This window comes from Homo sapiens, chromosome 6 (assembly GCF_000001405.40).
Source record: "Homo sapiens chromosome 6, GRCh38.p14 Primary Assembly".
Classification (NCBI taxonomy): domain Eukaryota; kingdom Metazoa; phylum Chordata; class Mammalia; order Primates; family Hominidae; genus Homo; species Homo sapiens.
In genome coordinates this window covers 152,067,997-152,085,879 of record NC_000006.12, presented here as the reverse complement: position 1 = coordinate 152,085,879, position 17,883 = coordinate 152,067,997, and the positions used below count along the sequence as shown (strand labels likewise).

The 17,883-nt window shown below is 41.1% G+C and overlaps 1 protein-coding gene across 30 annotated transcripts in view; it reads right to left on the bottom strand.

The window, feature by feature from the left end:
• ESR1 (estrogen receptor 1) overlaps positions 1-17,883 on the bottom strand; it is a 472,948-nt gene that overhangs the window by 43,740 nt on the left and 411,325 nt on the right. For 5 of the 30 annotated variants that reach the window (XM_011535547.3, XM_047418291.1, XM_047418292.1 and 2 more), the window contains one exon: positions 650-7,088. The exons of the other annotated variants lie outside the window; for them this stretch is intronic. In XM_011535547.3, the coding sequence (XP_011533849.1) occupies positions 7,006-7,088 (83 nt within the window). In that variant the 3' untranslated portion in view covers positions 650-7,005. Of the gene's footprint in view, positions 1-649; positions 7,089-17,883 lie in introns of those variants that run through there. 30 annotated transcript variants of the gene reach the window in all.

Below are 17,883 nucleotides of genomic sequence, written 5' to 3'. Positions count from 1 at the left end.
ACAAGCTTTTCTACAAGGTGTTCTTGGCACTCTTCCCATGGAGATATGGGATCTGGGCCCTCTCCCTTGAAACTGAGTGGACTCATGACTCACTTGTAATCAACAGAAAGGGCTGGAAGTGACACATTACCACTTCTAAGTGCATGTCGTAGAAGGCTATGAAACTTTTTTTTTTTGTCAGCTGGGACACTTGCTTCTGGAGCCCTCGCCACTTTGTGAGAGGTCTAGTGTCCTATGCTGGGATATCAGACAGGTCTCCCAGTTGACAGCTCCAGCTGACGTCCCAGCCAACAGCCAACATCAATTGCTAGCCTATGAATAAAGATGCCTCAAGGTGGTTCCAGCCCATAACTCTCAAATTACCCCTGGTTGACGACTCTCCCCATTTAAGACTTTAGACATTGTGAACATGAGACAAGCCATTCCCTCTGTGTCTTATCCAAATTTATGATCCATAGAGTCCAAACTTTTTTTTTCTAGCTGTTAAATTTAGCAGTCAGCAGCAGTAACCAGAACACACTTGGACATCTTTTTTTCTTTTTGTTTTGTTTTGTTTTGTTTTGTTTTTTTAGAAAGAGAGACAGGGTCTTGCTCTGTCACCCAGGGTGGAGTACAGTGGTGTGGTCATGGCTCACTGCAGCCTCAAACTCCTGCGCTCAAGCAATCCTCCCACCTCAGCCTCTCAAGTAGCTGGGTCTATAGGCACACACCACCATGCCAAGCTATACCTAGACATCTATGCCAGACACTTCAGGAGGAAAGCGATCCAGAAGAGGAAGATAGGAGATTTGACTCCTGACCTGATACACCAAGAGGTGGAATAGAATTTCAATGCTTCCTGCCCCATGTTATAAACTCTGCCTGCCAATGCTCTGGCCTAGCTCTCATCCATGCAGTCAGCGGTAAGGGCTTCAGTGCATCCTATCAGCTATAGTGTGAAGTTAATGGTTTTCATAGGAGACCTTTAGTCTGATCACCACCAAGGTGATTATCAAAACACATGGATCATCCCCTAACTGGTAAAGATCTGTACTCCGGTTTCTCACCACGGAATAAATGACTTTGAATTGTCAGTTGCACAATCCTTGCCAAAGTCCTACTTGTGAGAAATAGACTTTGTAGAACTTTGTCTGAAAAAGAGTTTTCATGTTGAATAACTGTTTTTTTTTTTTTTTCAATTAAAAGCCTGTGAACCTTATAATAAAATGTGTTCTTTTTGTTTTGGCCAGGCAAAGGAAATTTAGAGCCAAACTTGCAGTCCATCCTGGGAACTGTAAAGATATACTTCTGTGTGTGTGTATGAGTTCATTTTCACGCTGCTGATAAAGACATACTCGAGACTGGGAAGAAAAAGAGGTTTAACTGGACTTACAGTTCCACATGGCTGAGAGGCCTTAGAATCGTGGTGGGAGGTAAAAGCCACTTCTTTTTTTCTTTTCTTTTCTTTCTTTTTTTTTTATTATACTTTAAGTTCTAGGGTACAGGTGCACAACGTGCAGGTTTGTTACATAGGTATACATGTGCCATGTTGGTTTGCTGCACCCATCAACTCATCATTTACATTAGGTATTTCTCCTAATGCTATCCCTCCCCCAGCCCCCCAACCCCTGACAGGCCCCGGTGTGTGATGTTCCTTGTGCTGTGTCCATGTGTTCTCATTGTTCAACTCCCACCTATGAGTGAGAATATGCAGTGTTTGGTTTTATGTCCTCATGATAGTTTGCTTAGAATGATGGTTTCCAGCTTCATCCACGTCCCTGCAAAGGACAGGAACTCATCCTTTTTTATGGCTGCATAGTATTCCATGGTGTATATGTGCCACATTTTCTTTATCCAGTCTATCGTTGATGGACATTTGGGTTGGTTCCAAGTCTTTGGTATTGTGAATAGTGCTGCAATAAACATATGTGTGCATGTGTCTTTATAGTAGCATGATTTATAATCCTTTGGGTATATACCCACTAATGAGATCACTGGGTCAAATGGTATTTCTAGTTCTAGATCCTTGAGGAATCACCACACTGTCTTCCACAATGGTTGAACTAATTTACACTCCCACCAACAGTGTAAAGGTGTTCATATCCTTTGCCAACTTTTTTGATGGGTTTGTTTTTTTCTTGTAAATTTGTTTAAGTTCTTTGCAGATTCTACAAAGATATTAGCCCTTTGTCAGATGGGTGGATTGCAAAAATTTTCTCCCACTCTGTAGGTTGCCTGTTCACTCTGATGATAGTTTCCTTTGCTGTGCAGAAGCTCTTTAGTTTAATTAGATCCAATTTGTCTATTTTGGCTTTTGATGCCATTGCTTTTGGTGTTTTAGTCATAAAGTCTTTGCCCATGCCTATGTCCTGAATGGTATTGTGTAGGTTTTCTTCTAGGTGTTAGGTCTTACATTTAAGTCTTTAATCCTTCTTGAGCGAATTTTTGTATACAGTGTAAGGAAGGGATCCAGTTTCAGCTTTCTACATATGGCTAGCCAGTTTTCCTAGCACCATTTATTAAATAGGGAATCCTTTCCCCATTTCTTGTTTTTGTCAGGTTTGTCAAAGATCAGATGGTTGCAGATGTGTGGTGTCATTTCTGAGGCCTCTGTTCTGTTCCATTAGTCTATATATCTATTTTGGTACCAGTACCATGCTGTTTTAGTTACTGTAGCCTTGTAGTATGGTTTGAAGTCAGGTAGCGTGATGCCTCCAGCTTTGTTCTTTTTGCTTAGGATTGTCTTGGCTATGCAGGCTCTTTTTTGGTTCCATGTGAGCTTTAAAGTAGTTTTTTTCCAAGTCTGTGAAGAAAGTCAATGGTAGCTTGATGGGGATAGCACTGAATCTATAAATTACCTTGGGCAGTATGACCATTTTCGTGATATTGATTATTCCTATCCACGAGCATGGAATGTTCTTCCATTTGTTTGTGTCCTCTTTTATTTCGTTGAGCAGTGGTTTGTAGTTCTCCTTGAAGAGGTCCTTCACATCCCTTGTAAGTTGGATTCCTAGGTATTTTATTCTCTTTGTAGTAATTCTGAATGGGAGTTCACTCATGATTTGGCTCTCTGTTTGTCTATTATTGGTGTACAGGAATGCCTGTGATTTTTGCACATTGATTTTGTATCCTGAGACTTTGCTGAAGTTGCTTATCAGCTTAAGGAGATTTTGGGCTGAGACAATGGGGTTTTCTAAATATACAATCGTGTCATCTGCAAACAGAGACAATTTGACTTCCTCTTTTCCTAACTGAATACCCTTTATTTCTTTCTCTTGCCTGATTGCCCTAGCCAGAACTTCCAACACTATGTTGAATAGGAGTGGTGAGAGAGGGCATTCTTATCTTGTGCTGGTTTTCAAAAGGAATGCTTCCAGGTTTTGCCCATTCAGTATGATATTGGCTGTGGGTTTGTCATAAATAGCTCTTATTATTTTGAGGTACGTTCCATCAATACCTAATTTATTTAGAGTTTTTAGCAAGAAAGGCTGTTGAATTTTGTCAAAGGCCTTTTCTGCATCTATTGAGATAATCATGTGGTTTTTGTCATTGGTTCTGTTTATGTGATGGATTACATTTATTTATTTGCGTATGTTGAACCAGTCTTGCATCCCAGGAATGAAGCTGACTTGGTTTTGGTGGATAGGCTTTTTGATGTGCTGCTGGATTTGGTTTGCCAGTATTTTATTGAGGATTTTCACATCGATGTTCATCAGGGATATTAGCCTAAAATTCTCTTTTTTTGTTGTGTCTCTGCCAGGTTTTGGTACCAGGATGATGCTGGCCTCATAAAATGAGTTAGGGAGGAGTCCCTCTTTTTCTATTGATTGGAATAGTTTCTGAAGGAATGGTACCAGCTCCTCTTTGTACCTCTGGTAGAATTCAACTGTGAATCCATCTGGTCCTGGACATTTTTGGTTGGTCCAAACCTTGGTTCAGTACCTGTTATTGGTGTCTTCAGAGATTCAACTTCTTCCTGGTTGAGTCTTGGGAGGGTGTATGTGTCCAGGAATTTATCCATTTCTTCTAGATTTTCCAGTTTATTTGCGTAGAGGAGTTTATAGTATTCTCTGATGGTAGTTTGTATTTCTGTGGGATCGGTGGTGATATCCCTTTATCATTTTTTATTGCATCTATTCGATTCTTCTCTCTTTTCTTCTTTATTAGTCTTGCTAGTGGTCTATCAATTTTGTTGATCTTTTCAAAAAACCAGCTCCTGGATTCATTGATTTTTTGAACGGCTTTTTGTGTCTCTGTCTCCTTCAGTTCTGCTCTGATCTCAGTTATTTCTTGCCTTCTGCTTGCTTTTGAATTTGTTTGCTCTTGCTTCTCTAGTTCTTTCAATTGTGATGTTAGGGTGTCGATTTTAGATCTTTCCTGCTTTCTCTCGTGGGCATTTAGTGCTATAAATTTCCCTCTACACACTGCTTTAAATGTGTCCCAGAAATTCTGGTACATTGTGTCCTTGTTCTCATTGGTTTCAAAGAACATCTTTATTTCTGCCTTCATTTTGTTATTTACCCAGTAGTCATTCAGGAGCAGGTTGTTCAGTTTCCACGTAGCTGTGTGGATTTGAGTCAGTTTCTTAATCCTGAGTTCTAATTTGATTGCACTGTGGTCTGAGAGACAGTTTGTTGTGACTTCTGTTCTTTTACATTTGCTGAGGAGTGTTTTACTTCCAATTATGTGGTCAATTTTAAAATAAGTGCAATGTGGTGCTGAGAAGAATGTATATTCTGTTGATTAGGGGTGGAGAGTTCTGTAGATGTCTATTGGGTCCACTTGGTCTAGAGCTGAGTTCAAGTCCTGGATATCCTTGTTAACCTTCTGTCTTGTTGATCTGTTTAATATTGACTGTGGGGTGTCTCCCAGTCTCCCATTATTATTGTGTGGGAGTCTATGTCTCTTCGTAGGTCTCTAAGGACTTGCTTTATGAATCTGGGTGCTCCTGTACTGGGTGCATATATATTTAGGGTAGTTAGCTCTTCTTGTTGTGGCTGTCTTTGTCTCTTTTGATCTTTGTTGGTTTAAATTCTGTTTTATCAGAGACTGGGATTGCAACCCCTGCTTTTTTTTTTCTTTCCATTTGCTCAGTAGATTTTCCTTCGACCCTTTATTTTGAGCCTATGTGCATTTTTGCACGTGAGATGGGTCTCCTGAATACAGCACAGTCTTGACTCTTTATCCAATTTGCCAGTCTGTGTCTTTTAATTGGAGCATTTAGCCCATTTACATTTAAGGTTAATATTGTTATGTTTGAATTTGATCCTGTCATTCTGATGTTAGCTGGTTATTTTGCCCGTTAATTGATGCAGTTTCTTCATAGCGTCGATGGTCTTTACAATTTGGAATGTTTTTGCAGTGGCTGGTACTGTTTGTTCCTTTCCATGTTTAGTGCTTCCTTCAGGAGCTCTTCTAAGGCAGGCCTGGTGGTGACAAAATCTCTCAGCATTTGCTTGTCTGTAAAGGATTTTATTTCTCCTTCACTTATGAAGCTTAGTTTGGCTGGATATGAGATTCTGGGTTGAAAATTCTTCTTTTTTTAAGAATTTTTAAGAATGTTGAATATTGGCCCCCACTCTCTTCTGGCTTGTAGGGTTTCTGCTGAGAGATCCCATTAGTCTGATGGGCTTCCCTTTGTGGGTAACCCGACTTTTCTCTCTGGCTGCCCTTAACATTTTTTCCTTCATTTCATACTTTTTAAATCTGAAAATTATGTGTCTTGGGGTTGCTCTTCTTGAGGAGTATCTTTGTAGTGTTCTCTGTATTTCCTGAATTTGAATGTTGGCCTGCCTTGCTAGGTTGGGGAAGTTGTCCTGGATAATATCCTGAAGAGTGTTTTCTAACTTGGTTCCATTCTCCCCATCACTTCCCAGTACACCAATGAAACATATATTTGTTTGTTTCACATAGTCCCATATTTCTTGGAGGCTTTGTTCGTTTCTTTTCACTCTTCTTTTCTCTCATCTTGTCTTCTCACTTTATTTCATTAATTTGATCTTCAATCACTGATATCCTTTCTTCCACTTGATCAAATCAGCTATCGAAGCTTGTGCATACATCACGAAGTTCTCATGCTGTGGTTTTCAGCTCCATCAGGTCATTTAAGTTCTTCTCTACACTGTTTATTCTAGTTAGCCATTCATCTAACCTTTTTTCAAGGTTTTTAGCCTCCTTGCGATGGGTTAGAACATGTTCCTTTAGCTTGGAGAAGTTTGTTATTACCGACCTTCTGAAGCCTACTTCTGTCAACTCATCAAACTCATTCTCCATCCTGTTTTGTTCCCTTGCTGGTGAGGAGCTGCAATCCTTTGGAGCAGAAGAGGCGCTCTGGTTTTTGGAATTTTCCACTTTTCTGCTCTGGTTTCTCCCCATCTTTGTGGTTTTATCTACCTTTGGTCTTTGATGTTGATGACCTACAGATGGGGTTTTGGTGTGGATGTCCTTTTTGTTGATGTTGATGCTATTCCTTTCTGTTTGTTAGTTTTCCTTCTAACCGTCAGGCCCCTCAGCTGCAGGCCTGTTGGAGTTTGCTGGAGGTCCACCCCAGACCCTGTTTGCCTGGGTATCACCAGCGGAGGCTGCAGAACAACAAATATTGCTGCCTGATCCTTCCTCTGGAAGCTTCGTCCCAGAGGGCACCTGCCTGTTTGAAGTGTCTGTCGGCCCCTACTGGGAGGTGTCTCCCAGTCAGGCTACATGGGGGTCAGGGACCTGCTTGAGGTGGCGGTCTCTTGGTTCTTGGAGCTTGAACACTGTGCTGAGAGAACCACTGCCCTCTTCAGAGGTGTCAGACAGGGATGTTTAAGTCTGCGGAAGCTGTCTGCTGCCTTTTGTTCTGCTATGTGCTGCCCCCAGAGGTGGAATCTAGAGAGGCAGTAGGCCTTGCTGAGCTGAGGTGGGCTCTGCCCAGTTCAAGCTTCCCTGCTGCTTTGTTTACGCTGTGAGCTACTCAAGCTTCATCAATGGCAGACGCCCCTCCCCGCATCAAGCAGCAGCATTGCAGGTTGATCTCAGACTGCTGCGCTAGCAGTGAGCAAGTCTCCATGGGCGTGTGACCCACTGAGCCAGGCAAGGGAGGGTATCTCCTGGTCTTCCAGTTGTCAAGACTGTGGGGAAAAGTGCAGTATTTTGTCAGGAGTGTACTGTTTCTCCAGCTACAGTCTGTCACAGCTTCCCTTGGCTAGGAAAGGGAAATCCCTTGACCCCTTGCACTTTGTGGGTGAGGTGACACCCTGCCCCAGTTCGGCTCACCCTCCGTGGGCTGCACCCACTGTCCAACCAGTCCCAGTGAGATGAACCAGGTGCCTCAGTTGGAAATGCAGAAATCACCTGCCTTCTGCTTCGATCTCGCTGGGAGCTACAGACCAGAGCTGTTCCTATTCAGCCATCTTGGAAGCAACCAAAAGACTGATTTTTAAATGGAAAAAAAAATGTTTTCCTGACAGAGTATAAAAATATAAAAGAGTATCTAACCCACTGCAAAGAGAGGTCTTATGAAATTCAAGGGGTGAACCCTGGCTTTCTGTGAAAAGAAAGGCCGTCTTGGTCAAAGTAAACATAGGCACTTGCAGTCCATATCGTCAGAAGAAGGACAGCCTGCTGCTCCAGCAAGTATACTTCTTCCTTATGCTTGTGAAAGGCACTTCTTACATGGCAGCAGCAAGAGAAAATGAGGAAGATGCAAAAGCGGAAACCCTGATAAAACCATGAGATCTCGTGAGACTTACTCACTACCACAAGAACAGTATAGGGGAAACTGGCCTCATGATTCAAATTGTTTCCCACCAGGTCCCTCTCACAACACTTTGGAATTATGGGAGTATAATTCAAGATGAGATTTGGGTGGGGACACAGAGCCAAACCATAACATTCCACCCCTGGCCTCTCCAAATCTCATGTCCTCACATTTCAAAAGCAATCATGCCTTCCCAACAGTCCCCCAAAGTCTTAACTCATTTCAGAATTAACCAAAAGTCCACAGTCCAAAGTCTCATCTGAGACAAGGCAAGTCCCTTTTGCCTATGAGCCTGTAAAATCAAAATCAAGCTAGTTACTTCTTAGATACAATGCGGGTTTAGGCATTGGGTAAATACAGCAGCTCCAAATGGGAGAAATTGGCCAAAACAAAGGGGTTACAGGGCCCACACAAGTCTAAAATCCACCAGGGCAGTCAAATTCTAAAGCTTCAAAATATCTCCTTTGACTGAATGTCTCACATCCAGGTCATGCTGATGCAAGAGGTAGGTTCCCATAGTCTTGGGCAGCTCTGCCCCTGTGGCTTTATAGGGTATAGCCACCACCACCTCCAACCCTGACTGCTTTCACAGGCTGGCGTTGAGTGTCTGTGGCTTTTCCAGGCACATGGTGCAAGCTGTCAGTGGATCTACTATTCTGCGGTCTGGAGGACAGTGGTCCTCCTCTTACAGCTCCACTAGGCAGTGCCCCAGTGGGGACTCTGTGTGGGGGTTCCAACCCCACATTTCCCTTCCTCATTGCCCTAGCAGAGGCCCTCCATGAGGGCCCCACCTCTGCAGCAAATGTTTGCCTGGGTATCCAGGCATTTCCACGTATCTTCTGAAATATAAGTGGAGGTTCCCAAACCTCAATTCTTAACTTCTGTGTACACACAGGCTCAACACCACATGAAAGCTGCCAAGGTTTGGGGCTTGCAACCTCTGAAACCGTGGTACCTCAGCCCCTTTTAGCAATAGCTGGAGCAGCTGAGATGCAGGGCACCAAGTTCCTAGGCTGCACACAGCATGGGGACCCTGGGACTGGCCCACAAAACTGTTTTTTTCCTCCTAGGCTTCCGGGTCTGTGATGGGAGGGGCTGCCATGAAGACCTATGACATGCTCTGGAGACATTTTCCCCATTGTCTTGGGGATTAACATTTGGCTCCTTGTTACTTATGCAAATTTCTGCAGCCAGCTTGAATTTCTCCTCAAAAAAATGGGTTTTTCTTTCCTACTGCATCATCAGGCTGCAAATTTTCTGAACTTTTATGCTGTTTCTCTTTTAAAACAGAATGGTTTTAACAACACCCAAGTCACCTTTTGAATGTTTTGCTGCTTAGAAATTTCTTTTACCAGGTACCCCAAATCATTTCTCTCAAGTTCAAATTCCACAAATCTCTACAGCAGGGGTAAAATGCCACCAGTCTCTTTGCTAAGATATAACAAGAGTCACCTTTGCTCCACTTCCCAACAGTTTCTTCATCCCCATCTGAGACCACCTCAGCCTGGACTTTATTGTTCATATCACTATCAGTATTCTTGTCAAGGCCATTCAACAAGTCTCTAGGAAGTTTCAAACTTTCCCACATTTTCCTGTCTTTTTTGAGCCCTCCAAACTGCTCCAACCTCTCCCTGATATCCAGTTCCAAGATTGCTTCCACATTTTCGGCTATCTTTTCAGCAACACCCCACTCCTTGTACCAATTTACTGTATTAGTCCATTTTCGTGCTGCTGATAAAGACATACCCAAGACTGGGAAGAAAAAGAGGTTTAATTGGATTTACAGTTCCACATGGCTGGGGAGGGTTCAGAATTCAGAATCATGGTGGGAGGCGAAAGGCACTTCTTACATGGTGGTGGCAAGAGAAAAAATGAGGAAGATATAAAAGTGGAAACCCCTGATAAAACCATCAGATCTCATGAGACTTATTCACTACAATGAGAACAGCATGGAGGAAACCACTCCTATGATTCAAATGATCTCCCACTGGGTCCCTCCCACAACACATGGAAATTATGTGAGTAAAATTCAAGATGAAATTTGGGTGGGGACACAGAGCCAAACCATATCAGTGTGATAATCTGTCTCCTGGATTTATTATTTTCTTCAGATTATCCTCAATTTATAATGATGTGTCAAATATTGGTTTACCCCTTTACATTACATAAAATTTGGTAAGGCATTTCAAATCCTCTGTGGAATACATAATATACAAATAAAATCATGAAAATGACACCCCTTCATTCCTTGCCAAATCAATGAACAATGTTAATGTGAACAGAAGTGTTTATAAAACATCATGAAACACCTATCTGACACTTAGACTAAAATGCAGAAAAAAAATGACATACGATCTGAGCATATATAATTGGCCAATATGCACATGTCCATATCACCCTAAATTGAACAGCCTGCTTAATAGCCTGCAAAGCTTTGCAATAGTCACTAATAAATGAGAGTCATATCATCTTGGTTCTGGTTTGCAAATGTATCACATGAGCCAGAAACCTTCAAATGTATTTTCCCTCTTTTTCCTGGGCTAGAATTGAAGTGGCTGAGAATTCTCTCTGATTATTTTTAAAAAGATAACTAGTGTTGAAAGTTCCTCTCTTTGAGAGATGAGTGGGCAAGTGAATGGTGCATATTCTTTAGGTGTATTGTTTCTATCATTCTAAGTGAGCACTACGTGGATGAAAACTGTATTGAAAAAATGTCACATGAGTGTTTATAACAGGTTTATCTCATTTTTCCTTAACGAGAGGAAGGTTATATTACATTGGAAAAATAGAGCCACAGAATTCCAGAATCATAAATCTTAAAAGGGCCTTAAGATGATCATCTAGTTCAGTGGTCTTTAAAACATTTTGAGAGTAAAAACCCCTTTTAAAACAAATAAAAAGGTGAACCTCATGTAAAGTCCTCATATGCAATCTGGATGAAGTCAAACTTCTCTGATTAAAGCAAGAGAAATGTTGCGGGGTGGGGGCACCAAGCCCATTCACTCCAACTTTCCCTCACTACCCTGTGCACCTATCCTCTGGTGACCCCATGGCTTCTTCCACAATACTTGGCTTCAGCAGAAGAAAGTGTAAAAACCACTGATCTCCAGAGAATGAGAAGACAAGCCACAGACTGGGAGAAAATATTTGCAAAAGACATACCTGCTAAATGACTGTTATCCAAAATATACAAAGAGCTTTTAAAACTCAACGATAAGAACGCAAACAACCTGATTAAAAAAATGGACCAAAGAGTTTAACAGACACCTCACCACAGAAGACACACAGATGGCAAATAAGCTTATTAAAAGATGCTCCATGTGATATTATCCAAAAAATGCGAATTAAAACAAAATGAGATACCACAATACACCTGTTAGAATGGCCAAAATCCAGAACATTGACAACACCAAATGCTGATGAGGATGTGGAGCAACAGGAACTCTCACTCATTGTTGGTGGAAATGGAAAATGGTACAGCCACTTGGGAAGATGGTTTGGCAGTTTCCTTCAAAACTAAACATACTATACAATCCAGCAATTGTGCTCCTGAGTGTTTATCCAAAAGCATTAAAAATGCATATCAACACAATTACCTGCACATGGGTGTTTACAGCAACTTCATTCATAATTGCCAAAACTTGGATGCAACCAACACATCCTTCAGTAGGTGAATGTATAAATAAAGTGTGTATAATCCAGACAATGGAGTAGTAGTATTCAATGATAAAAAGAAATGAGCTATCAAGCCATAAAAAGACATGGAAGAACCTTAAATGCATATCACTGAGTGAAAGAAGCCAATCTGAAAAGGCTACAAACCTTATGATTCCAAGTATATGACATTCTGGAGAAGGCAAAACTGTGGAGACAGTAAAAAGATCAGTAGTTGCCAGGAATGGGGTGGAGGGAGGAATGAATAGGAGGAGCACAGAGGATTTTTAGGGCAGTGAAATTATTCTGTATATTACAATAGTGCATACATGTGTCAAAAGCCCTAAAATGCCCAACGCCAATGCAAACTATGCACTTTGGGTGATAATGACGTGTCGATGTAGATTCATCAGCTGTAACCAATGTACCTCTCTGGTTGGGGATGCTGATAGTGAGGGAGACTGTGTATGTGCGGGGGCAGGGAATATATGGGAACTTTCTGTACTTGCCACTCAGTTTTGCTGCAAATCTAAATCTGTTCTAAAAAATAAAGTCTTTAAAAATAAAATAAAATAAATAAATTTTAATGTAAAAAATGAAAAACAATGATTCAGTACAATTACTAGGAAATTGTTGGGAAACTGAGGCGAAAGGAAGTGAAGGAAGTGGGGTTGCAGATGCTGCATCTGGAGGGGCTTGAGGCGGGGCCGCTAGCCTGGACTTGCCTGAGGTCGGCCAGTTGGTAAATAAGTGGTAGAGCTGGAACTAGAACCCAAACATCCCTCACTTCTGGCCCAGTGCTCAAAAGCTACACAAATAATTTCCTAACTTCAAGGTTTGTGAGAAACTAGAAATGACTGCCAACAGACTCGCCTCCAGAGATATTTGAGAAAACTAATAATTTTCCTGGAATGATTTAGAAACAATTCTGCATTTCAAAACAGGGTGCAGGATGGTGTGGAGAAAGGAAGAAGTGGCAGCGAACTGGCATCTTTTAAGAGTCTCTTTAATTAAGGATTTTCACCAAAATGTTGACAATGGTTACTTTTGTGTGGTGAAATTATGATTTCTTGGGAGATTATTTTGCTTGGTGGCTTTTCTGTATTTTCCAAGTTCTCTGCCTTGGTCATGCATTACTTTCGTAATTTGGTGGAGGAAAATGCTATTAAAAATACAAAATCGAAGTCCCTTTCATTCCTATTATTTCATGATCTTCGTCAACACCTGGACTGTTGAGAGGGAAATCTGGCTGATGAACGGATACTCCAAAGAAAAAGGAGTTTGCTGTATGGGTATTACTTATTACTATTTCATAATATTTCTATCATCCTTAAGGCTGCTCACATTTCCGAAACTCTTCAAGGCTGGCCATTTTAGCAGGAAGTGGGGCTAACAAATTTGTAATTAAAGCTTCTGTGAATAATTTTCTTAGTTGGAAATGCCTCTGGCATGTTATCACTAGCCTGAGCTACATAAGCAAGTACAAAAGATCAGCTTCAAAGCTGAACAACACATCATCCTCAGAGGACTTGCAATATGCTAAGAAAGCATGGCACTAAGATTTTTCTAGAAGGTGCTGAGTGTTTGGCTTTCACTGAATGTGAAGGTTACATTGTCTAACTCAATGATTAATACTTGCTATTCAAGGAGAAAGGACAGATGTGTTGCGTGTCAAGATGAAAGTGAATTTTGCATTCTGGGTTTCATCCATAACTGTTGATTCCAATTTTAAAGAATAAATAAATGTTCCCCTGCCAGTCCCCTCCTGACATTCATGCATAACTGTCCTCAGAGCTAACTACCTGTTCCAACCTGGACCATGAAGCCTAAGCATCTGCTTTCTGTTGCAGAGAATCTGGAGAGTAGACAGCACTTGGTCCTTCGGGCCTTAGTGGGATTAGACAGGGCACTTTCTGAACCAACATCTCCTTGATCACTAGAGAAAGGCACAGCTAGAGTGATAGCAAAACCCCATGTTCAGTCCCGTGTCCAGTAGCTTCCTTCAAGCTCATTACTGACCAGGGAAGGACATGCCAATCACACAAAGCAAACAAAGTCTTTGGAAGAGGTTGTCCTTCCCTAGAAAAGTTTTTAAAGAGAGATACACTCACAACAAATCAACCCTCCTCTTTCTTAAAATATCACTTAAAAAAAAATCAGTGGCAAAGAGCCCAAAACAGAGGATAAGACATAAAATGCAAATGCTTTGAGAACTCAGACTGCCTGGAATAAGCAGTTCATCAGCATTGTGTCAGTGCAGGTCACAAAACTTAAAATGAACATAACAAGGACCTATATAGATACTAAAATGAAGAAAATGCTCTGAGAGAAGATAATTTGTTTCAAAAGGAGATGTTTATAATAGGATCTATGTAGAAATTCCTGACTGTGGCTCTTTTAGAGGAGAGGGCAGTGGCTGAGCAGCGGGGAAGCCGTCTACCCTCCATAACTCTCCTCTGTCTCATGGCCCGCATTGCATGATAAGGTTACATTCATGTGAATGCTTTCATACACTCTTGGTAAAAGTGTAATTGATAGTTTCCTGGGGCAGTAGGCAATATGTATGAAGAGCAGGCAATATGTAGCAAGAGCCTTAAAAATGTTTATACCCTTTTCACCAGCAAATCAATTTCTAGCAACATATACAAAGTAACAATGAAAAGTGAGCAAAAGATGTATGAAAAAAATGCAAAACAAATGTTATTTATAATCCTGAAAGAGAAATCACTTACGTGTTTAACAGCATCAGATTTGTTGAATAAATCATGTTGTATCATCATGACTGATTATATAGTTATTTAAAATCTTATTTTTAAAGAAAGTACATGTATATAATCCTAATTAGAATATGTAAATATAAATATGAATATATGCATACACAGTACGGATGGAGAATAAAACAGTACCTAATACAAATTGTTAGTTTAAGTAGGTATTGTTCTAAGAGCTAACTTGTATTAAAAATAGCCCTATGAGGTAGACGCTATTATAATCTCCATCTCATGGGCAAGCACACAGAAGCACAAAGGGTTTAAGCAACTTGCCCAAAGTCAGACAGCTAAGAAATAGCAGAAAGGGATTTGATCTTGGAATCAAAGTCCCTCGTTCTTAACCCTACACTCCTTTGCAGTAACATAATCAGAACATCAACATGGTTGGCTAATGTCAGGTGGTTTTATATTTCCTTAATTTATTATTTTGTTTCTGTAAATTTCATAAAAATCCAATTTAGTGAAAACTATTTTTATATCACAATTTTATATTTAAAAAGAATAATTTTCTTGTTATATCTGTCTTTACCATCAGATCATGAGGTCTTTGAGGTAGGAGCTGCCTTCCTAATTGTTACCACTATTGATATGAGCACTGGGTCGCTGCTAGGGAGTTGTCCCTAGGTTTCAGGGAGCAGTCCCTATGCCTCACATAAACCACACTGTAGGAACTACTACTCTCTCTATTTTACAGATGAATCAAGTAAAGGCAACTTTGTATTTCTACCACTTAGCACAATGCCTGGAAAGTAGTAAACACTCAATAAATGGTGATCAAGCTAACAAACAACGGTTGACAAAGCCACAGACATCACTCTGTTCCATGGAATATTGCTGTCTTTCTTATATGCCAGAAGAAAAATGCAACCTAAAAAGCACATCTAAAGTAAAAACTCAGAGGAAATGGAGCTGAATCAACCACAATCAATTTCAGTCTGCAAAAGCAGCCACGGGCCCTCTGGCGGAAAGTGCTGGAAGAGGTGGAAGCTGGTGGGGAGCTCAATGACCCCATGGGGGAGGCCATGCAGGGCAAGATGGAACTCAACGCAGGGAGTTTGCTTTTCCATCCTTCAGCCCAAGAGAAGCAGTTGGAGGGAGCGATGGGGCCATGAGTGGCAGATGCAGATGTACATATTCTGGCTAAGTGCTGTGAGTTTGGTCTAGACTCAAAACTTTACAGAACAGTTTGATGTTCCATTTCAATTTTTCAGGAAAGCATACATATTCTATTACATATGCTTTGAATACCCATTGAACAATTCATAGTATGTCTTACAGGGAAAGAAAAATTCATTAAAAAACAATTATTCTACTTTTGGGCTCAGGAAATAAATGGAATTTTGTTGTTGTTTCCTTAAGGTTTTCTTCAGTTCAAGTTTTAAAGTCTTTTAGACTATAGTTTAGTATGCTGGGAACAAGGACAGAGGGAGGGCACCTATGGCCTTTCCAAATATATGGCCTGATTGCACCTCTAGTTCTTTGATTAGTGTAGGGAGGTCTTGACTTCAAAATTTTGGTAGGATATTAGACTGCTGAAGATTTTTTCCTTTGAAATAGAGAGTACTACAGAAATGGTGATATTAACTTAGGTTTTTGCACTATCTTATACATCACAACACTATCTTATACATCATAACCTATAAGGTTGACAGTACTGCTTAGAATTAGAGGTCCAGTGACTTGATGAGACATTCACTGGTAGTTTAATGTTGTTGCCAGAAATTCCCTTGTGTCCTTCTGACTCCAGCTAATCCTACTCATCCTTGAAATCATCTTCATAAAATTAACAAAACCAAATTACTAGGTTTTAAACAAAAGCATAAGCTTTGAATAGAAACACAGCTAAGCATTAACCAGCCTACCCTACAGCCCAGAGGTCCCCAGCTGCCTGGGTTGCAAACTGGTACCAGTCCGTAATCTGTCAGGAACTGAGCCACACAGCAAGAGGTGAGTGGTGGGCAAGGAAGCATTACTGCCTGAGCTCTGCCACCTGTCAGATCAGCAGTGGCATTAGAACCTCATAGGGCTGTGAACCCTACTGTGAACTGCCCATGTGAGGGATCTGGGCTGTGTGCCCCTCATGAGAATCTAACTAATGCCTGATGATCTGAGGTGGATCAGTTTCATCCCGAAGCTATCCCCCACCCCACCCTACACCACCCCATCTGTGGAAAAATTTTCTTTCATGAAGCTGGTCCCTGGTACCAAAAAGGTTGGGGACCGCTGCAATAGCTCACTTTCTGACAGCCACTTAACACTTCAAAGTCACGTAGCCCCTGTCACAATGTCCTAACTTCTATAGATAACATCTTTGATGCTAAAAAAAACCCCTCAAGTTTGCCATTTTGAGATATTTTTCAGATCCTGCATTCCAATGGGTTCACTGCTGCCAGCCAGAGTGAGGACCCCCTCCGAGGAACTGACCCAGTGCAAGAATGGAGTTTCTATATCCTTATTGTCTCCTCTCCTATGTCCTAACCAATCAGTTACCCCCAGCTCCTCAGCCTCCTTCTTGCCAGAATTCTCTTAAAAAGCCTAGTCCCAGACTTTTTCAAGAGGTGGATTTAAGGTTTCCTTCTGTCTCCTTATTTGGCTGCCACACAATTATTAAACTCTTTCTCTGCTACAGCTCCTGCTGTTTGGTGTACTGGTCTGTTACCATGCAACATGCCATCAAGCCTGGCGGTTCAATAATGTCCTCGTCACTCAGCAAAGGATCAGTTCTCAGCTAAGGACTCCTTTGCTGGGTCTCTGCAGCACTCAATACTTACTTTCATTACAACCCTGAACTCATAATATTAAAATAATTGGTTAATTATCTTTGCCTCCTACCCAACCCAGTCCATGGAGGAAGTGGACCTTACTCATTTTTATGCAGGCAGTGCCTGGCACAGTTCCAAGCATTATCAGTAGCTCCCCTGCAGTTTGCAGAATGGGTAGTTTTGTAATATACTAGAGAGCTATTTTATTTTAGTGGAAATTCAATTGTCGATGCCAGTAGTTTTCAAACTAGGTTCCACACGCTCCTGAGAATTAAAGATGGATTCTCATAGGTCTTTAAATTGTCTTTAAGAATTTTAAAATTTTATGCTTTTGTCTTAATGACATTCCAAAAGACATGAAGACATTAATATCAGAGTGTTCTGCATCAATTAAGTCAATGGTTCTAAATCCCGGTCACAAATTTTAGTCTTGGGGGATGGTTTTAAACAAATGTTGATATTAAGGCACCACTCTGGGATAATTGCATAGGAATCTCTGGGTGTGGGTGCTCATACAGAGATTTTTCTCAAAGCTCCCCTCCTCCACACCCCCAGATGAATTGTGTGGTCAGTCTTAAGACTCACCAATCTAGATAATCCATGGAACCCTGAACTGTTTCCTAAGTAACACATTTTTCACAGATGCTTATGAATGCCTTAGAATCTAGCAGTTATATTTTAAGTATCTCAACTAAATACAGAAGCAAACAAAATGCATAAATGATGTGTTCCTGCCAAATCCAAATGATGGACGTTGCAGAACACTGGGCGAGCAAAGGTTTTGGCACAGTTCTGAGCGCAAGCAAGTGCTGGGAGAGCCCAGTTGTGGCCACATCCTTGGTAGCCTCTCATGTCAGATGCAAAGAGGCCAGGAGTCTGCCCCAGGCATGTTGCAAACAGCAACTTAATTACACAAAACATTGTTATTATCAGTTTCCCTCTTAGTTTGTATTTAATTTAAGAATTTGTTTTGCTTTTA